General features: G+C 37.5%; 1 protein-coding gene and 1 non-coding gene across 9 annotated transcripts in view; both read left to right on the top strand.

The window, feature by feature from the left end:
* CHM (CHM Rab escort protein) overlaps positions 1-23,165 on the top strand; it is a 186,379-nt gene that overhangs the window by 122,715 nt on the left and 40,499 nt on the right. For all 8 annotated transcript variants that reach the window (NM_000390.4, XM_047441793.1, NM_001362519.1 and 5 more), the window contains one exon: positions 13,506-13,583. In NM_000390.4, coding sequence (NP_000381.1) covers positions 13,506-13,583 — 78 coding nt within the window. The remainder of the gene's footprint in view (positions 1-13,505; positions 13,584-23,165) is intronic.
* Positions 21,137-21,208, top strand: MIR361 (microRNA 361). The gene has a single exon (NR_029848.1). It is a non-coding gene; the product is annotated as a microRNA 361 (primary transcript).

The raw sequence follows: 23,165 nt of genomic DNA, 5'->3' as shown, positions 1-23,165 counted from the left end.
AAGCATGATGATTATGCCTTCCAAGATTGACAGCAGTTCCTAAAGGGCAGTCCATCTGCCCACAACCTTTTCCTTGAGTGGGAAATCCACACCAGAAGCCCCACTAGACTCAGATACTTGTACTACATAATTTCTTGAATTAGCAGCAGTGCTGTTATTCCAGGTCCATGATGACTCCTTAAGGCACAGAAACTAACCTGTTCCTTGTGCCCTCCTATATAGAAATTAGTACCCAGAGTATTAAGTTGTAATCTTGATGAATGGCCAAGAGATAGTAGTGGTTTTTGAGGTTGGTAACAATTTGCTGTCTCTAATAATCACCCCACAGGTGGAGTAAGAGTGCTTTCTGGGTATTCCTTCACAGCAATACTTGTATAGGAAGACTACCAGGCTTGAGCAGTTGCATTTGATTGCTTCACATTTCATGGGGGAGACTGCTTTCATGAATGTGCACATTACCTTATACTTGTTCTGAGGAAGACACCTCCCTTCTGCCTCCAGTCTATTAGCAATTCTTGTCAGCTTGATGTCTTATATATGTCCCCAGCCTCTCCACTTCTTCATGTGCACTGCCATTACCTTGCTTTAGGTCACCATCTTCTCTTACTTGGTTTATGGCAGACATAACTGGCCTCCCCTCTTTCACTCTTGCCCCTTTGAGAATTCTCCACAGAGCAGCCAGACCCATTTTAAAAATAATACAAATCTGATCATGTCACTGCCTTGCTCAAAACTTGCTGGTTGTACTACTCATTGTACTTAAGAGTAAAGTTTAAGATCTTTAACCTGGCCTTGAAAGCCTTGCATGATTAGGCCCCCAACTATATGCGTCCTCGTTTCCTACTGTATTCCTCCCTATTCACTGTGATCCATCTCCCTTAGCCATCTCTCTTCTTCTTCAAATACACTGAGCTAGCTTGCACTTCAAGTTTTGAAATTTCATTTTCTTTCTGCTTGGAATGTTCTTCCACCCTTTCATGTGGTCAGTTTCTTCTGATCATTCAGGTCTCAGCTCAGATACCAGTTCCTCAAAGAGACTGTCCCTGAATACCCTGTCTAATGTTCCAACCCCCATATCACCTTCACCTTATCCTGTTTTATTATCTTCAGAACACTTACCACTATCTACTCTTATTTCTTGTTTGTTGTCTCTCTCTTGTACTAGGTAAGTTATATGACAGCAGGGACAGCATTTGTCTCGCATACTTTTGTATCCCCAGTGCCCAGAATTATACCTGGTACATAGTAGACCTAGTTCTACAAATATTTGTGCATAAAAGTATAAATGTTGTTGCTTGTTGCCATCAGCATTAACACTTCTCTTAAAACTGTCACAAGTTCCTCTGTAGAAGGTAGTTGAATTGACCAGGTCCCCAAGTTGCTTGAATTCTGTTAGAAACTACAGGGCTTGAACACCTGGAGGTGGACTCTCACACAGTCAATAAGAGCAATGTAGCCTACAAACCCCACATTGGTGGTACAATCTGTAATTATTATCTCCTTTGCTACGGAAGATGATAGCTAACAAAAGCGTTGATGTATTTAACATTTACCATGCACCAGGCAGATAGTAAGCACTTTACATGTATTAACCCATTTAATCCTTGTGGCAAGTCTATGCAATAGATATCATTATCCCCATTTTATAGTCTTGAGAACTGAAGCACTGTCACACAGCTGGTAAGTGGGAGGAATCGGGAAAGGAACCTAGGCAGTCTGACTCAAGAGTTAGAATGTCCACATTAATTTCACAATCACCCCCACGAGTTGATCTCTTTGCAATTTGCACATCATTACTAAAGTTATACACTTGACTTCTAGTGACCTAGTAATTTTGATTTTGGTGATCACTGCTTGCTAAACAAGCCCACTCAACTTCTGTCATCATGACTCATATCAGGTCACGCTTGCTGTTTTGGCAATACTGGATCATTGTGAATGAGGCTATGTTGTAGTGGAACACTCATTTGAAGGCTTTTTTGATGGCCTTGCTGAATAGAGTAAAACCTTATAGATAATGAGTTTCAAGAGCTTGTAGCAGAGGATGAGGCCTGGCTTGGGATTGTTTTGAACGTAACTGTTTCCTGAGGCTGCAGGAGTCATTGCCTATGAAAGATCATCCCCAACTTGGTTTGATTTAAGGTTTTCTTGACATTAAAATGGTATGAAAGTGATACACATTCAGTACACTCCTCAACTTATGATGGAGTTGTGTCCCATTATACCCATTGATATTTTCAGTTTACAAGGCAAGGAGCATCTGTATTTAGCTACTGCTCTTGAGGAAGCATTCTGTTTCAGGCCAATAGGAAGTCCATGCTGAGTTGGATTCCAATAGCTTGAGTCTTAGCAGGGATCTTGGGGAGAGATGATGCTATGGCATATGCCGTCCAATTTTGCCTTCCCAGGAGCCAGACCCACTACAGCAAAATACAGCATTTACTTCTGACACCCACCATACAAATATTCTCCTTCCCTCTACTTCCTGCTCAAAGAAAGATACCAAATACCAAGAAAGGAAGAAAAAAAAGGGGGGAATGTTAGCATAAGTGAAAACTCTGATAATTTACTTTATACTGTAGATCATATAACATGTTTGTGGGTTACATATTTATATTGCATATTTATATCATTTATATTACTACTACATGATTTAGTAATATAAATATGCAATATAAGTATGTAACCCACAAACATGCTATCTGATCTACAGTATATAGTAAAACTGCATTTATAGTGCATGAACATGTGTGTAAACAGCACTAAGACCATCCTGTGTAAAAACTGCATTTATAGTTCATGCATATGTGTGTAAATACCACATGCACATGTGTGTAAATGCACATGTGTGTAAATACTGCATTTATAGTTCATGCACATGTGTGTAAAGACTTTTGGGATCCCCTTCCCGTGTGTGTGTGTATATAAAAATAAATACATGCATTTAGATTTCCCTACATGTATTTTTTCAGACTGGCAGCCACCAATCAGGTCAACATTACAACATGACAGAAAACTCAATATGTTGTTTTAAATATAGTGTTATGATAAATGCATATGTATGAATATAGTTACAAGAAACAAAGTTGAACTTTTTGTAGATAGATGCAATCACTGAAGTCTTACAGTGTCTCGTGACATGTAGGCATGCCTACTTACTGTTGGAATGGAACTTCTGCTTTTCAGTTTACGGTTTTAGCTGGGGTGTCACTAAAGCACATTGATGATCAATGGTCACTCTAATTTTTCTCTTGTAACAGACCTTTTTGTTTGGTTTGTTTTTAATGGAATTTGATGAAGAGTTCAAATGTATTTTTGTAGTGACTTTTTTGGGGACAGTCCTACCTACTGTGTTTAGTAGATTTCTTTTTTAGATAAGTCCTGCAAAATTTATACTTGCTTGCCTCTAGGCTGCATACTACCCTTTGGAAGGGAGGTGTACAGAGCTGTCTTGCCAGGTGTTATGTTAGGCCTTAGGATGGCTTCTGTAAACTGCACCAAAGATGGAGCCTACCTGACATCTCAGAGATGTTTGCCATCTTTGGTTGCTTAATTGTCCTTCACTAAGACGTGTTAACCTTTGGGTTGTTAGGCTGCCATTTAATGCACTGGAAGAAAACGTGTCATGTGGAAACTTATTACCTCCCCCAAAATCATGGTAAAGTATTTACCTTCTACTCACAGCTTTTTCTTTATTTAAAAATTTCTAGCTTACCAGTATACTTTATACATCACATTTTAAAATATGGATTACAAGATAGTCATAATTTGCTAGGTACTCTGAAGACCACTATTCCCATGGTTATACTTTGAGTTTTTGCACTATCTAAAATGAAGTCACACATAATCCATTTAACATGTACAGACAGAATAAACATGTACTTTCTTGAGAGAAAATAATGTGTAGAAGTTGAGGGATTATTTTACTCTTTGTAATAATTTTTGCAATTCAACAGGAATTAGAACAAGTCTTAGAGTAACTTTGATCATCTGATTCTGTTGCTTTCCTTCATAATCCCAAGAAAGATAATACTGACAATGGGGCAGGTTGGTATGATGGTTAACAGAGAAACCTCTGAGACCAAATCACTTGGATTTTTACCCCAGCAATACCATTTCCTAAATGACCTCAAGCAAGTCACTTGACCTCTTCCTCAGTTTCCAAATCTGTGAAACCCTGGCTTATAGGATTATTGTAGGATACAATGTGTTAATACATGTAAAACATCTGTTGTGTAGTAAGCACTCAATGCTAGTTGTGATTATTATTTGTATGGTTGTTGTTGTTGGCTGTGTGCCCCAAAGAACAGTATGTAGCCAATAGTTATTTCCCCACATGTAATTCCCTACTTCTCATGTAAATGCCTCCTATTTGGGTTTTGAATACAGCTCTCAAGAACTCCCTACTACTGTGCTTCTTACCCACTTACAAAAGATTTCCACTATTGGGCCGGGCACGGTGGCTCACGCCTGTAATCCCAGCACTTTGGGAAGCTGAGGCGGGCGGATCACAAGGACAGGAGATCGAGACCATCCTGGCTAACACGGTGAAACCCCGTCTCTACTAAAAAATAGAAAAAATTAGCTGGGTGTGGTGGTGGGCGCCTGTAGTCCCAGCTACTCGGGAGGCTGAAGCAGGAGAATGGCGTGAACCAGGGAGGCAGAGCTTGCAGTGAGCCGAGATCGCGCCACTGCACTCCAGCCTGGGCGACAGAGCGAGACTCCATCTCAAAAAAAAAAATAAAAATAAAAATAACAAAAACAAAAAAGATTTCCACTATTGCTCGTTGACACCAAGTAATCCTTACACCCCCAACCAAAACTTATTTTTTTTAAAGACTATCGGAATGACTGATAAGAATAGCATACAGAGGAGTCTTTATATCAATACTCATTTTGTGTGGCACTTCTTACAAATCACTTTTTTTTTTCACTTGGGCATAAGATACATGAAGAAAATACAGAGGTGACAGAGAACAAATGCTGCCATTATGAGCTACACATAGCTTCCCTTTCTAACAAAGACTGGTATGGGGGAAAAACAAATGAGAAGCAATATGAAAAATGTATGTGCACATGTAACCATATACCTTTCCAAGAGCACAAAATACTTCTTATGTTCTCATTTAAAATTAAGAGGATATTTAAATGAATTATCACAATTCTGTCTCATTATTAAACTTCTTCTATAATATTTCCCATCATTCACACTAGTTCTTAACATTCTTTACATTCTTGTGTTTTTTTTCCATATAGTATATATCCACTGTTAATAAATCATATTGTTGAAAATCAGGTAATTTTTTGATGATTTACTATAAGTAGTTATAGATGTCCCTGTATCTCGGCATCTATAACTGTATTTAAATGTATTTGAGGCCCCATTTAGCCTAAAAATACTTCATAAAATTAATTTTCAAGGAAAAGGATACTTAATATTATAAAGTAATAGTATATTTCATAAACATTATACTATTTCATAAAAGGAGGTCTTTATAGAAAATTACATTTAATTTTGGTTAAGTGGATTATTTAGGCTTTTGATAATGTAATAGCCTGTGGCATATTGTTTTATATATTTTTAACCTGTATATAGTTTTAACCTTATACAGCTTCCAGTGGGTTCTGAATTTATTCCTTTGTATTTCTTGTAATGTGGAAAGACATTTAAAAGTTATTTTTCTCCAGTGGAGAATTGATTCAATAATATGAAGTTTTATCTAATGCTCTTTTTCTGTGTGTATATGCTTTATGGTTGAACATGTGGTCGATTTTAGAGTATTTGCTATGTGCAGATAAGAATATTGTATATTCTGTCGTTGTTGGGTAGGGTGTTCTGAATTCAGGTCCTCAATATCTTGGTTATTTTTCTGCCTCAGTAATCTAACACCATCAGTGGGGTGTTGAAGTCTCCCACTATTATTGTGTGGTTATCTAAGTCTCTTTGTAGGTCACTAAGAACTTGTTTTATGAATCTGGGTGCTCCTGTGTTGGGTGCATTTAGGATAGTTAAGTCTTTTTATTGAATTGAAACCTTTATCATTATGTAATGCCCTTCTTTGTCTTTTTTGATGATTTTTGGCTTAAAGTCTGTTTTGTCTGAAATAAGAATAGCATTTCCATTTGCTTGATGAATCTTTTTCCAACTGTTTACTTTGAGCCTATGGGTGTCACAGCATGTTAGATGAGCCTCTTGAAGACAGCATACTGTTGGGTCTTGCTTCTTTATCCAACTTGCCACTTTGTGCCTTTTAAGTGGGACGTTTATCTTGTTTACTTTCAAGGTCAGTATTGATATGTGAAGATTTGATCCTGTCATCATATTGTTAGCTGGTTGTTTTGTAGACTTGGTTGTGTGGTTGCTTTATAGTGGCAGTGGTCTATGTACTTCAGCATGTTTTTTCTGCTGGCAAGTATCTTTCTTTTCCATATTTAGGTCCTTTGAGGATCTCTTTTAAGGTAGGTGTGGTGGTAACGAATTCCCTTAGCATTTGCTTGTCTAAAAGTATTTTATTTCTCCTTTGCTTATGACACTTAGGCTAGATATGAAATTTTGTGTTGGGATTTCTTTTTTTAAGAATGCTGTATATAGGCCCCTAATCTCTTCTGGCTTGTAATGTTTCTGCTGAAAGGTCTGTTGTTAGCCTGATGGGGTTCCCTTTGTACCTGATCTCCCCCTTCTCTCTAGCAGCTCTCAAGACTTTTTCTTTCGAGTTGACCTTGGAGAATCTGATGACTGTGTTTTGGGGATTGTCATCTTGCATACTATCTCACAGGGGTTCTTGGAATTTCCTGAATTTGTGTGTTGACCTCCCTAGCAAGGTTGGGGAAATTTTTATGGATGATATCCTCAAATATGTTTTCCAAGTTGCTTGCTCTATCTCCATCTCTTTCAGGAATGCGGATGTGTTATAGGTTTGGTCTCTTTATGTAGTCCCATATTTCTCAGAGGTTTTGTTCAGTTTTTCAGTTCTTTTAAAAAATTTTGTCTGTGTTGATTCGAAGCATCACTCCTCAAATTCTGAGGTTTTTTTTTTTTCCCTCAGATTGGTTTATTTTGTTATTTATGCTTCCAATTGCATTATGAAATTCCTGTAGTGATTTTTTTTTATTTCCAGAAGTTCTGTTTGGTTCTTTCTTAAAATGGCTAAGTCATCTTTCAACTCTTGGATCATTTTACTGCTTTACTTGGATGCGTTTCAACCTTCTCCTCTATCTCATTGAGCTTTCTTCCCATCCAGGTTCTGAAATATATGTCTGTCATTTCAGCCATTTCAATCTGGTTAAGAACCACTGCTATAGAGCTAGCGTGGTTGTGTGGAGGTAAGAAGACACTCTGCCTTTTAGGGTCGCCAGAATTGTATTTTGTTTGTTTTTTTCTTTTTTAAAAAACTTTGATTTTAAGTTCAGGGCTACATTTGCAGGTTTGTTACATAGCTAAACTTGTGTCATGGTGATTTGTTGCATAGATTATTTCATCACCCAGGTATTAAGCCTAGTACCCTATAGTTATTTTTCCTGATCCTCTCCCTCCTCCCAGCCTCCCTTGACCCATAGGCCCCAGTGTATGTTGTTCCCCTCTATATGACCACATATTCTCATCATTTAGCTCCCACTTATAAGTGACAACAAGTAGTATTTGGTTTTCTGTTCCTGTGTTAGTTTGCTAACGATAATGGCCCCCAGCTCCATCCATGTCCCTGCAAAGGACATGAGCTCATCTTTCTTTATGGCTGCATAGTATTCCACAGTGTATATGTACCACATTTTCTTTATCCATTCTGTCATTGATGGACATTTAGGTTGATTCTGTGTCTTTGCCGTTGTGAAGAGTGCTGCAATAAACATTCATGTGTATGTTGTCTTTACAATAGAATGATTTATATTCCTTTGGGTATATACCCAGTGATGGGATTGCTGAGTTGAATGGTATTTCTGTCTTTAGGTCCTTGAGGAATCTCCACAGTCATCCATAATGGTTGAACTAATTTGCACTCCCACCAACAGTGTATAAGCATTCCTTTTTCACCACAACCTTACCAGCATCTGTTATTTTTTGATGTTTTAGTAATAGCCATTCTGACTGGTGCTAGATGGTATCTCATTGTGGTTTTGATTTACATTTCTTTAATGATAACTGATGCTGAACTTTTTTCCATATGCTTGTTGGCTGCATGTATGTCTTCTTTTGAAAAGTGTGTGTTCATATTCTTTGCCCACTTTTTTAATGGGGTGATTTTTTTCTTTTAAATTACTTTAAGTTCCTTATAGATGCTGGATATTAGACCTTAGATAGATAGATTGTAAAAATTCTCTCCCATTCTGTAGGTTGGCTACTCTGTTGATAGTTTCTTTTGCTGTGCAGAAGCTCTTTAGTTTAATTGGATCCCATTGTTCAATGTTTGCTTTTGTTGAAATTGCTTTTGGCATCTTCGTCATGAAATCTTTGCCCATGCCTATGTCCAGAATGGTATTTCCTAGATTGTCTTCCAGGGTTTTTATAGTTTGGGGTTTTACATTTAAGTTGTTAATCTATCTTGAGTTAATTTAGATATATATATGGTGTAAGGAAGGGGTCCAGTTTTGATCTTCTGCATGTGGCTAAGCCAGTTATCCTAGCACCATTTATTGAATAGGGAATCCTTTCCCCATTGCTTGTTTTTGTCAGGTTTGTCAAAGGTCAGATAGTTGTAGGTGTGTGGTCTTTTTTCTGGGTTCTGTATTCTGTTCCATTGGTCTATGTGTCTGTTTTTGTACCAGTACCATACTGCTTTGGTTACTGTAACCCTGTAGTATAGTTTGAGGTCAGGTAGCCTGATGCCTCCAGCCTAGTTCTTTTTGCATAGGATTGCCTTGGCTATTCAGGCTGTTTTACGGTTCCATATAAATTTTAAAATAGTTTTTTTTGTAGTCCTTTGAAGAATGTCAGTGGTAGTTTAATGGAAATAGCATTGAATCTATAAATTGCTTTGAGCAGTATGGCCATTTTAACAATGTTGATTTTTCATATCCATGAGCATGAATGTTTTTCCATTTGTTTGTGTCATCTCTGATTTCTTTCAGCAGTGGTTTGTAGTTCTCCTTGGAGAGATCTTTCACCTCCTTAGTTAGCTGTATTCCTAGGTAGTTTATTCATTTTGTGGCAATTGTGTATGGTGGTCTTTCCTGATTTTCCTCTCAGCTTGACAGTTGTTGGTGTATAGGAATGCTAGTGATTTTTGTACATTGATTTTGTATTCTGAGACTTTGCTTAAGTTGTTTATTAGCTTAAGAAACTTTTGGCTGAGACTATGGGGTTTCTAGATATAGGATCATGTCATCTGCAGACAAGATAGTTTGACTTCCTCTGTTTCTATTTTGATGCACTTTATTTCTTTCTCTTGCCTGACTGCCCTGGCCAGAATTTCCAATACTGTGTTGAATAGGAGTGGTGAGAGGGCATCCTTGTCTTGTGCCAGTATTCAAGGGGAATGCTTCCAGCTTTTGCCCATTCAGCATGATATTGACTGTGGGTGTGTCATAGATGGCTCTTATTATTTTGAGCCATGTTCCTTCAATACCTAACTTATTGAGCATTTTAAACATGAATGGATTTTGAATTTTATTGAAAGTCTTTGATACATCTATTGAAATAATCAAGGATATTGGCCCGAGGTTTTCTTCTTCTGTTATATCTCTGCCAGGTTTTGGTATCTGGATGATGCCAGGGTTTCCAGAATTCTTACGGTGGTTCTTTCTCGTCTGTGTGAGCTGGTGTTTAACCTCTGAAGTTGCCGGGTTTTTTTTTATATGGGTTTTTTGCTTTTATATTTTTTTATTTTTTTGAAGGTTTGTTTGTGGTATAAGTTGGGTTTATTTCATTGGCTTCCTTTCTGGGTACTTTCAGGTGGCCAAGGCTCAGCTCACCTGTCCTGGGCTGCATGCTCTAACCCTAGGTGGCTGGGACCAGGCCTGCTACTTTGTTCTGGTTTATTGAGGTCAAGCACCTGCTGTGCTGGAGAAGGTGAGGTGTTCCCATTCCAATGGCAACAATTCTTCAACAGGGGCTGCCAGCAAAAGTGCTGCAATTGGGCGTGGGAGGCACAGAATGGGTGCTGTGGCAGCTGGGGCACAGGCAAGTGTATACTAGCAGGGCAGTGTTGGGCTCCATGGGTGACTGCAGCAATGGTATCGCTGAGGGAAGGGCTCCCAGTGTGTCAGTGGGACTGTGGTTGGTTTGTGTGTGCATGGGCGCTGATGTGGTGGTGGTAGATTCTTATGCATGTGGGCCCTGGCAGCGTGGCTTGGGGAGGCTGTAGTTGAGTGCGCACCGTTGAGGGGAGGCTGCAAGTGGATGCTCACTGGGGGAGGTTTGTCTTCAAAAATACTCTGATGGGAAGGTGGAGACTGTCAGTCAATGATCTATGACAGTGAACTCTGGCAAGGATTTTGTCAGGGCAGCTGAGGCTGTGCTGCAAGCAGGTGTGGCCAGAGGAGATATCAGCACATGGGGGTTTGTTTAGATCACACCGGCCCAATCCTGCAGGTAAGATAGACTTGCAATCTCCAGGTCCAGTTGCTCACAAAGGGTAAAACCACCTAGAGGAGCATGGTGAGCCTTGGGGGATGGGCTCCCTTGGTTGTGCTCCACTGCAACTCTTCCCGTGCCAAACCTTCTGGGCTCCAAGTATACTGGATTTCTGTCTCTACCAACTCTCCGAGCAATTCTCCTTGCCATCTCAAATGTCCATGGGGCTCATAGGGGCTCCTGCATCTAGCATTCCAGAGGTCCATGACAAAGGTGAACCATTCTATGCCTATTTCACTCACCCCTTCTTTAGGAGCCGCTAGTGGCCAGGAACAAGTTTTGGTGTTTGGCAACCCCATGGAGTCTTCTCGGCCTCCTCCCTTTTCAGCCCTGGGGCCTGCATTCTTTCTCCGTATATCCACTCTCAGTGCCTTCTTCCTGAAGATCTGTTCGCAGTATGCTTGTCTACTTGATTGTCTGGTCTCGCTTGGTGGGAGAAGCTTTTATTGGCTGTGTCTAGTGTGCCATCTTGGCTCTTCTCCTTCCAAATCATTTTTTCAAGGTTCCATTCTTTCCCCACTGTTTTGTAATGCCACTTCTGTCATCATTTCCATACATTCATGGATCTTTTTATTACTTTCCTATTGGTGCCATAACAAACTTAGTAGCTTATAACAACACAAATTTATTATCTTACCATCCTGGAGGTCAGAAGTTTAAAACTGGTTGGCAGGGCTGCATTTCTTCTCGGGCCACTAGGGGAGAATCTGTTCCTTGTCTTTTCTAGCATATAGAAGCTGCCTGCATTCCTTGGCATGTGCCCCACTTCCAACAGTGGGATCATTCTGACGTCTACTCCTGTCTTCACATCATCTTCTTTGACTTTGGCCTTCCTGCCTCCTGTCCTCCAGTCTCCTCTCCCGTCTCCTTTCTCCTTTCCTTTTCCTTTTTTCTTTCTTTCTTTCTTTCTTTCTTTCTTTCTTTCTTTCTTTCTTTCTTTCTTTTTTTTTTTTTTTTTTTTTTGACAGAGTCTTGCTCTGTTGCCCAGGCTGGAGTGCACTGGCACAATCTCAGCTCACTGCAACCTCCGCCTTCCAGGTTCAAGTGATTCTCCTGCCTCAGCCTCCCAAGTAGCTGGGATTACAGGTGTGCACCACCATGCTCAGCTAATTTTTGTATTTTTAGTAGAGACAAGGTTTCACCGGGCTGGTCTCGAACTCCTGACATCTGGTGATCTGCCTGCCTTGGCCTCCCAAAGTGCTAGGATTACAGGCGTGGGCCCTGCCTCTTTCTTTCCTTTTTTTTTTTTTTTTTTTTTTTTTCTGAGATGGAGTCTCACTCTGTCACCCAGGCTGGAGTGCAGTGGCACGATCTTGGCTCACTGCAATCTCTGCTTCCCAGATTCAAGCAATTCTCCTGCCTCAGCCTCCCGTGTAGCTGGGATGACAGGCATGCACCGCCGTACCTGGCTAATTTTGTATTTTTAGTAGAGACGGGGTTTCACCATGTTAGCCAGGCTGGTCTTAGAACTCCTGACCTCAGGTGATCCGCCTGCCTCGGCCTCCCAAAGTGCTGGGATTACAGGTGTGAGCCTCTGCTCCCTGGCCACTTCTTTCTTTTAAAGACACTTGTGATTATGTTGCACCCACCAGAATAATCTCCCAGTCTCAAGATCAGTGCATTAATCACCACTGTAAAGTCCTTCTTGCCAGATATGGTAATATATTCACAGGAGCCAGAGATTAAAATGTGAGCATCTTAATGGGAGAGTGCATTTTTCAGCCTACCATAGTCGTCTTTCTGGACATTCCATTATTATTTTCCTGTGTTTTTGATTCATTCACCCTAAGCATACCCATTTTATAATCTCAATCAGATAGTTATACCATCCGAATATCATTTTGGGGAGTTTAATCCTATTTCTTTTGTCTGCTCACTCAAAGTAAGATGTGTTTCCTCATGTGTTGTATAATTTTAGATTATAAACTCATCATCTAGGGACTCTATCTGTGGCAATCTCATGTGGCCTTGGTTAGTCTTATTCCACCAGAAAGCTTTAGCCATTGCTTCCCCTAAGTGTCCAGGAGTCTACTCACTGACCCAGAACCACTTCTCATGATATTTTATATTTTATTGGCTAAGAGTTTCTTGTATCATATAGTGGTATAATTTCAAACCCCTAACATGTATGAGGGCAGACTACTGATAATATTAATAAATACACAGTGTAATCTTCCTCCATTCAGGGATCCACCCAAAGAAAAATGGGTTTTTTTGCTTGTTTTCTCCCTCTTTTTGTACGTGGATTTCTTTTCTTGGTTACCCTTTAACTGAGGCATAGCTCTTTAATAATCCAGATATTATAAGAAAATATCTCCTTTCCTACTTACTGCCTTGTTTGGATCTTAAGGCCTCTCCTCTCCTTATGTGTGCATTAAAACTTATGCACTTAGATTACTACTGAGATAGACACACTCCCTAGGGCTTCTGCTGCATTTACTCATGTTTACTGCTCTAGCTTTCAGTTCCCAGTTTAGTTTTGGCTACTGGAGATTTTGTTTACATTTATTGTAAGTAAAATATCTAGGAGTTTTCCAGAGTCTTCCCTGCTTAATTCCTCTTTAACACTTCTCAATGGTGATTTCTCTTGGGTTTGTCATACATGCATTACCTCTTGAAGCTGTTTGTGTTCTTTGTACCTTAGGTAGGCAGGAGCTGATTTTCGGGGGATAATTGGCTCTTGCTTAGGGACACTTCTGGTTTGCTCACAGTTCTAAGTGTCAGCATTGTATTATTATCAGTAACACCTCTACTGTGTCAAGATATTACTAATCTTGCCTCTGAGAGATTTTTAATACTATGATAGAGAAAATAGTACATTATCAAAATGTTTTTTCTGTAATACCAGTTATGAAGTGTAAAATACTTAAAAGAAAATACTTTTACCTTTATTTTCAACCCAATTACCCTAATTCTTATTTTTCTGTTCTCTTTCTAGGATGTGTGCTGTGTTTGGTGGAATTTATTGTCTTCGCCATTCAGTACAGTGCCTTGTAGTGGACAAAGAATCCAGAAAGTAAGGATGATATAAGTAACCTTCATATATATATATATATATATTCATATATATATATTCATATATATATATTCATATATATATTCATATATATATACATATATATATATATATATATATATATATATATACATATACACACACACATATCCCAAACACAAGTGAAAAATGCTGAAGTCAGTTTTAAGAAAAAGATTCTTCAAAGATCCTCCTTGGTATTAATAACATATCAACCTTGATTAAAAGTAATTTGTGTTTAGGTCCTCCAGAACAAGAATAGTGAGTTCAGAATATAGAAACTAAATTAATTTCCCTGCAATATGCCTATAGCTCCTGGTCATCCAAGCTTGGAAGACAAATCATTTCAGCTGCCAGGGGGTGGGTGATGAGTGATGTTAGTTTTCCTTGTGGCCTTACCTCCTCTAATTGATTTTCATCAGATGACAACAAAGCCCTCTGTTATTGCATTTTTAAAAATGGAATTCACCTAAAGACTCATCAGATTAATCTCTGCTGATAATGCATGTCACTCCAAGAGAAAAGACTTTAATGAGTTTTTAGGTAGATTGTTGTCATAAACCATGCTGCCCTCTTATCTAAGGATAAATTTTTTACAATAGTATCAGGCCTATAGGCTGCTTTAGGATTGAAATAAGAATTTACCTTTTCTTTAAAAGAGCTGAACACCATCTGTTTACTGTGTATTTTATATTTCAGTTATAATCACTGGTCTGAATTAGACTGGATAAAATATTCTTTGATTTCTGCCTTCTACACTGAAACTTAAATATTTTAGATCCAGTTTTAGAAACTATCTAAATTGCAATGTGTTTTTCTTTTTTTTACATGTTCTCAACAATCTACTGACCTGTATTTCTTAGATGATTGTTTTTAGGAGTATATAGTTAAATAGTATTTTTGAGGTTATAAAACATTTTAATATTTGAACTGGAAGCTTAAATAATATAAATTTTAAGCTGTTTCTTTCATTTTACAAAAGTTTTGTATCGTTTAAGTGGCATACAATGTCTATTAACTTCTTATAGACTAGTTGTAGTGAAAAAACTAGTATTTTGAATTATGGTGAAGAAAATCCTCAACTCTGGAAATATGTAATGCTTAGATAGTAAATTTGCTTTAGAAGAGTAATTCTGTAGTATAAGATAACATTGATACGTATTTTAAACGGCTTGTAAAGTACCTTTAGCACTTTTATAGAAGGATAGTACAAAATGAAACATGATAGTTTGCAGAGAAAAATTAATCCCTAAAGGCCCAGGATGTTAACATCTTGATTCATGAAGAACTCTGTTGAAGTTAAGGAATAGTTGTCTTTAGACTTCTAGAATCATTTTTCTTTGTGCATTCATTTTGCTACAAGAGTATGTTCCCATGACAGAAAGCCAGATAATGAATTGCTTATTTGGTGTTTATTTGCTTAGATTCTTTTACCCTTGGGGTCCCATTTCAGTCCCATGTGACATGAATAATTTGCATAGCTCATGTTTGTTTGTTTGTTTGTTTTTTAAAGGTATGCTAGTATAGTAATTGCCTTTGTTGAACTAAAGGCTACCTTTTCCTTACCTTTGACTTAGTTTTTATGACATGCTCTAAACAGAGGAGCTCTTTTTTATGATCTGGTACAGATTCCAGTTGCAACAGATAGCTGAAAGCTAATGGTCTAGAGACCAAATGAATCTCTAGATTGGTGGTTTTCAAACTTTAATGTGCCCAAAAATTACCAGGTAATCTTGGCAAAAATGCAGATTTCTGTTCTTCACCCTCAGAAAGTGAAATTGGTTAATATGCTTAGGGGGAATGCAGTAATTTGCAGTTTTAAAGAAAACCCCAAGTGAATCTAGTATAGGAAGTCCTTAGATTAGATAACACTGATCTGTAAGGTAAAATTGAGGGTTTAGTAAAGGGTACTGTGTTCCATCACAAACTGGGGGCTCTAGGTCTTAATTCAGTCTAAGGCCGTATCAATATGAAACTGCCAGATATACCAACAATCAAATGTGAATTTTAAATAGCAGACAGACTGCTTCTAAGAATATCTTCATAGAAAGACATGTCTTGTTTTGTAACTTCTAAGGCATGAGTAAAGGTTGTGTAGCCCTTGAATGAGAGGAGACTTGGATTTCCACTAGTGCCATGAATGACAGTGGGCAAATCCTTTCCTCTGGACCGGATCCTTTATCTGTAAGATGAATGACATGGACTCTGCAGTAATCTCTGGATATCTTTCTAGATTTGACATGCCTTGGTTGAGTTCTTAGATAGTTCTTTGGTAATGTTCTTAGAAAGTACTTGGCTTTTCCTTATTTAGAAATAAATTATCTTAAAGTATTTTATATGCTCAAATGTAAGCCATTCTCACATAATGCATCATCTTCAGTCCCAGTGAGAAATTTAAAGAAGTTGAACAACTTGGATGTGCCTGCTTTTATGAATATAAATTAAATAGCACACAGTCTTCTTGTGCTATTAATTATATTGTTATATTACTAGAACCCCAGTTTTCCAGTGAACATCATCTTCTTGTCCATCTTGTTTTTTCAGAATGCAATGATTTTGGATTCTGTATATGAATCTCTTCCTGGAAAATTTATTCTAAGCTATAATTATTTATTTCTGTAACTTGCCAGTTTTTAAAACTTGACCTGTAATCATAGTACTACTGTCATCTACAATATTCTCACTATACTAAATTGCTTAAGTGATCTTTAAAAGTTTTAAGACTCAAGCAATACTTGAAAAGTATAAGTTCATATTTATACCTTCAGTAATAATTACCATATTTATATTAAATTTTTCCTCTTTAAACTAGCAAGTCAAATAGTCTCTATAAATAAAAGCTAGCATTGACTGAAGTTGGCTCAGGTCAGCGTATCTTTACCAAACACAGCTTTGCCATTCAAAATCAAACATACAAGAGAGATAACCAGTAATAGGAGATATTTTGTTAGGACTTGAACATAAAGTGAGGGATAGTTTTTTGAGGGAAAAACCTTGACATTGTATTAGGCAAATCCAACATACATTTCTTTTTAAGGATTCAAGGCTGGCTTAAACAATTGTTATGTTCTAAGTATAATTAGGGTACTCACTAAGGAATCTGCAAAGATTTGCATTTGTCTCCTTATGGTTTCAGTTTGCCTTTCTTTTCCTAGTTTTCTATATGGAACACTTGACATCCTCTCTCCTCTTTAGGACAGTTAAGAACTACTTATACTTTGAGTCAAAGTTCTGAGTTTATTCTGTGATCCCACAGACTACATCAGAACCCTCTGTCAGTCTCCACTCCCCACTGTCACATCCCCTCGTATGATCATTTTATAAGTTCTCTATAAGAAAAGGCAGGATCTCACTGTTGTATCTCCAGAACCAAGGCAGGTTCCTAGTAGCCATTATACTGAATAACTTTGAGTTAAATAAATGATTAAAGATTAAAGACTGGCTATAACCCTTTTTGTGCTTTTCTTTGCACTCTCCATTTAGGAAAACTGAGAGAGGCATAAGGGATCATAGCATTGAGTTTAATGTGGTGATTATACATCAAAACACTGTACAAACTTTGACCGAAGAAATAGGGCATTGAGGAGGCACACTAAATCATGGTATATGGAATATGTAACCAAATGCATACCTATTTTCAGCCAGGTTTTATTTTTCATTTTTGTTTGATTGGTTCTGCTTTCTTATTTGAGAGGATGTAGGTATGCATCAGTGGTTCTTTTCTAAACCTTTTCACTAAATTCTAATACTGCATGCTTCCGTTGACTGTTTTTAGAAAAACTGAATGTTCTAGTTGAACAGTTTTCTTTTCCTTTGCAGCTATGCTGACCAGGTAAAACTCCGGTAAATTAGATCTGGCCATTTAGTAGTATAGTATTTGATATATTGGTAGGGTAGAGATGACCTTGGACTAGGACCAGATACATCTATAACCAATAGTTGTAATTAATTACTTCAGCTGCTGTTTCCTGTGTACTTCACCTGTCTCACTTACCAGCTTTCCTACTATGACTCTTTCTTGATGTCAGGAATATATTTTTCTGATGTCAGGAATATATATTTTCTGATGTCAGATATATTTTTCTGACTTTTCTTTTCTTTTTTTCTATTTTTGAGACAGAGTCTCGCTTTGTTGCCCAGGCTGCAGTGCAGTGGTGCAATCTCAGCTCACTGCAACCTCTGCCTCCCAGGTTCAAGCGATTCTCCTGCCTCAGCCCCCCTAGTAGCTGGGATTACAGGCCCGTGACCACGCTTGGCTAATTTTTGTATTTTTAGTAGAGACGGGTTTTGCCATGTTGTCAGGGCAGTCTCGAACTCCTGACCTCAGGTGATCAGCCGGCCTCAGCCTCCCAGAGTGCTGGTATTACAGGCGTGAGCCACCACGTCCGGCTGTCTATGCCTTTTCTAGATACTTGGAAGTTAGTAATGAATAGAATGTGAGACCAAGTTTGAGGTGACTGACTGTTAATACCATTTGTCATTGCTGAAGCACTGATTTTAGCATGGCCTGCTTGCAAAATGGTAGTGGTCATATTCTGGATACTTAACGTCTGCCAACCCCCGTGCTAGTTGTTATGGGGATAAAGAAGTGAATGAAACATGGACCTTGCCCTTGTATACAAGGAGACTTCAGTAAAGAGTACAGCTCTAAAGTTAGATAGATTGGATTTGGATCCTGACTTTGTCACTAGCTGTGTGTACTTGAGCAATTGTTTAACTCTCTGTGACCCAGTTTCTTTATCTAGAAACTTGGACAATTGACTACACCTACTTCATAGGGTTATTATAAGTATTAACTAAATAGACAAAACTTGTAGAACCATTTGTTACACATTGTAAGTGCTAGCTATGTTAGCTAACAATAACTATTAATATAATTGGAGACCTTGGAATCCAGTGGTGGGGGAGACCTATTGTGAAGATTCTTCTGTGCTATGCTAATAAGGAATTTGGACTATAATCAGAGGTAACAAGATTAAATTTGCTACTTTAAGTTAGTAATTCTGGCAATGATTTGGAAGAAGCACTGTGATGGAAAGTGATTCTTTTCCTCCTAAATCAGAGATTCTGTATCGTTTTTTTCCTGTCTCTACACTATTCACAAAGTACGGAATACTTCATTAACCATCCATCCATTCACCCATCCATGCAACAAGTATTATTTGTTTTCTTTTTGCCAGGCACTGGGGATACAGCAGAGAATAAGACAATCAGGGTCTTTGTTCTAAGGAACTTACAGTCTACTGGGGGACATTACAGAACAACTAAATTTATAAGATAATTGCACATTGAGATCTGTTCGGTATGCAGATCTGGCCCCCTCCTTATTTAAAAAGCTTCAGTGCCTTTATATAATCTCAGAATAAAGTGTAAGACCTTTTTACATGACATATGACGGGTGAGACTCTGTAATCTGGCCTCTGTCTCCCTGTCTAGGCTCATCTCTCTTCCCTACTTGCTTTTCATTTTATTGTCACATAATACTGATCTGTTCATGGGTCTCTGTACCTGCTGTTCTCTTACTTGCCTTTGTAACCCCGCAAATTCTGCCCTTCTACCTGAGATAACTGTATCCTTATTTGCTTGCTTAACTGTATGTTATCCTTTAAAAGCAACAAATGTGTCACTTCCTCCAAAGAGCATTCCCTGATACTCCACCCCTCCACCATAAGATGAGTTAGGTACCTCTTCTAGTACTGTGTAATTCCCTATCCTTATCTTTTATCACTGGACTTTGCTATTGTCTTAAAATTGTCTCTGCCTGAATCTTCAAAAATTGTCTCTGTCTGAATCTTGTCCTTTAGGGCAAAACATTTTTATTCTTACCTCTTAGAACAGTGCTTGGCACATGGTTGTTATGCTATACATTTATGTTGAACAAATGAACTACCAATTTGCTAGCAGGTCATTATCATATTAGACATTGTAAGAGTCTAAGGCAGTATCAGTGGAGACGGAGAGAAGAGGCTAGTTTCAGGAAGTATTTATAAAGCGGAATCAAAATGTTATAGCAGACTAGATATAAAAAGAGATTTGAGGTAGGAAAACTGCTGATTATGCCATTGCCTGACATAGGGATTCCAAGGGAGTGGGAGCAGGTGAGGAGCCATGATAAACTCAGTTTGCAGCATGCTAGTTTTAAAAAATGCTTGGCTAATAATACTATATTATTTCCTTGAGATTTGGTAAGAGCAGGTATTAAGTTCCTCATGACACCCACAGATGGTAATGATGGGTGGCAATAGATGTGTTAATTCATTTGTGGTAATCATTACACAGTGTATATCAAGTCATTACATTATACACATTGACTATATACAATTTTTGTTTTTCAATTAAGTATTTATTAAAAGGGAGCTTGGAGTCTATCCAGAAAGTAGTAGATAATAGACAATTACAAATATGGATACAGAACTTAACAGAAGTCAGAGCCTAAAACTATAGATTTGAAGTTATTTGCCTGCTAATGGTGTTTAGAACTAGTAGAGTGTTTTTCACCCAAGAAAAATGAGTGGGAAGCATTTGAAATGGTTTTATGGATGAGGTAGCATTTGAACTAATGTGTTTGAGAAAGCTCAGAAGGGCATAGTGACTAGGGAAAATTATTTTGTTTTCTTCAGTGATTGAGAATCTTCTAATTTCCTTAGTACATTTTCCTTTAAATTATTCCATATGTGATTTCTGCTTTCTTTATCATAAAATTAGTTGGTATATTCATTCTGAAGATCACAGAGATTGAATACTTGTTTTAGTGTTATTTTTCCTCTTCTGGGCCAAATTCCAGATTTTGAGTTTTCATCTTACTATTTTCTTCCTCATCATCATTTTGCTATCTACACACTTATATCGTTGAACCAATAACTGAATAACTTGTGATTTGTTGATTTAGAAAGCTTAGCTCTAGAAATGTTCTGTCTGGCTTGAGTGTTTTGTATGGTCAGCTTGGTCATTGTGTCCCTGTAACTGGAGACACCTGTTACGTTCCTCCTCAAGTTACTATTTATGAGGCTCAGCAAGGCCCTCAACTAAATCTTACGTGGTTTAATCTTTCCTGCCTTCCTCAGGTTTATGTGGGAGGGGTATTTTCATGACTCTGGCAGCACTGTTTATTTTGCTGCTTTCTGTTAATTAAATGTCATCTAATTTTTTATATGAATCTTTATAATACAAAGACTAAATTTAGATCTAAAATCAATGTTTTTTTATTCATTGTTTTCCCAATTATGCTGAATATATGACAGTAAGTTAAATGTCTGAGAGGAAAACATATCTTATCACTTGCTTAAACATGTCTTGATTTGAGCAGTTTTGCTTAAGCCTAGAGTCTTAGTACTTCAGCGTGATATTATCAGGTGAGTCATGTTATTATCATCTACCAGACTGAGACTTGGGCATATGTGACCATCACCTCAATTTCTGCAGAAACAAATATTTTATCTGTACCAATAGCCCTTGATTTTTCTCCACCTAGCACAACATAAGAGATACAACAGTAGCAGTGGCACGCTTGACAGTGATTTTTTTCCTGGGATTTGGGAGCTTATCAGAATCTCCAGGGGTACTTTATAATTTCAAAAAGTCCCCCAGGTGTGATTCTGATTTGCTTCCTTTTCCTCCTCCTGCTCTGAGAATCACCGTTTCTTTAGAAGCATCAGCATAAATAGGCACATGTATTAGTATCTTCTCCTGGTATGGTTGAGCTCCCTAACTCCCAAACCCCCATACTTGCCTTTTGAGTGATCTCCATTAGTTCTTTCTAATATCATAACTTTTGAAACAAATGTCTGTCACCAAAGGTATGGCTACCACCAAAACAACCTCGTTCATGTTTAGAAGCCTACAAAGCTTGAGGGCCAGGTTTAATAATACAGTTTAAATGGGAACCCTTTTTAAAGACTTACACTCAGGTCTGAGATTTATATTAACACTGACCCCCTCCCCCAGTTTTATTTTAACATTTTATGATGAACATTTTCAAACTTATACTGACATGGAAGGAATTTCAAGAGAACACCTGTATATCCACCTCCTGGATTCTATAACATTTTAATAAACTTGTTCAGTCACACGTCTACCCAAATATTAACCCCTCTATCCATGTATCGAGTCATCTTTTTAATGCATTTGACTGTGAATTGCAGATGTCAGTAAAATTTCCCCTAAATACTTCCAGCTTGCATATTATTACCTGGAGCTCAATATTTGTTAAGTGTTTTTCTTTTGATGTAAATTTATATACAGTGAAGGGTCCAAATCTTAAGTGCTTCTTAACTGAGTTTTAACAAATGATAAATCTGTATAACCTAAGCCCCTATCAAGATATAGAAATTTAACAACCCCTTTTTTCTGCCCAGTTATTTCCTCTTGACTTTACATAGTCTCTGAATTAAAGGTAAGAAAAAGATTTGTCAGTGCTTACAGGACAAATAGAGATTGATGTTTAATGACAGCAGATTTCTCTTCTCAATTGCCTGAAGCACTTTGTGTTTCAAATGGTATATGAGTGTTTTAAAATAGAAGACTGAGTGAATTACTTATATTTTCAGTTTTTAAAACATTATTTTGGAGAATATCAGATGTAAATACTTCAGATCTATTTTCTTAAGTATTTTATAAGGCAAGAGCTCTAGTTCAATGAAATATGAGGAGGTATGTATAGAAACAGAAGTGTAGAAGAGAAAGAAGGTGGAGATGAGATGGAAAAAAATCATGTAAATATTAACGTAATATTACAAATGTTATATTAAAAGGTGGTTAATTGGTTAAAATATCTATTATGTACATGTAACATCACTAGACATCATAGACTATCCTTACAACAGTGGGATGCCATTTATTAAAAAATACCAGCATATTATAATCTGCCTTTAGGAAATACAAATTAAATTCCTCTCACTATTGGTCTTGAGTGTTAGTCATTTTATTTTTAATGCCTTTATTCCTGGAAAATATCACTTATATGGCTTATTTTTAAAGTGAATGAACAGATTTTAACTTATACCAGTATATTTTACAGTATGCTTTTGGAATTAATTTGCTTGCATCTTATGAGGGGCAACACATAAGTTCATTTCTAATAAAATAATTCTGTTCCCCAAAGGAGAAGCTGTGACACAAATAAATTGATATTTCCATAATCAAAAGATATAGCAAACACACAGTCATTTGCATATAGTTCCTGAAATATTGCATACTGGCTTTGTCAATGCTGGTAAGTCCATTTCAAGGATGTTGCCCTTAGTCCATTAGTTTGGATAATGAGCCCTATAAAGTACATTTATAACTTGTGGCACTGCAAGGAGATGGATTCTAATTTTCATCCTTTTATCTAGACACATTGAAAGAAGGTCAATGGAGGGTTCTATATGATTCATTGTTCCAACACATATCAGATGACAGAGACCTGATAATGTCCGTGCATAAGTGTTTTCCTTATTTGGAAACAACACTTCAAAGAAATCTTTCTATGATCATCCTTTGAAGTAAAGTAGAAACAGATATTAAAAGAAGCTCTATCACATTTTTCTGTTTCAAACATTATCCAACACGTGACCATATAGCTAT

This window comes from Homo sapiens, chromosome X (genome assembly GCF_000001405.40).
Source record: "Homo sapiens chromosome X, GRCh38.p14 Primary Assembly".
NCBI classification, from domain to species: Eukaryota; Metazoa; Chordata; class Mammalia; order Primates; family Hominidae; genus Homo; species Homo sapiens.
Note: the sequence above shows the minus strand (reverse complement) of the source record. Positions and strands in the feature narration are given on the sequence as shown.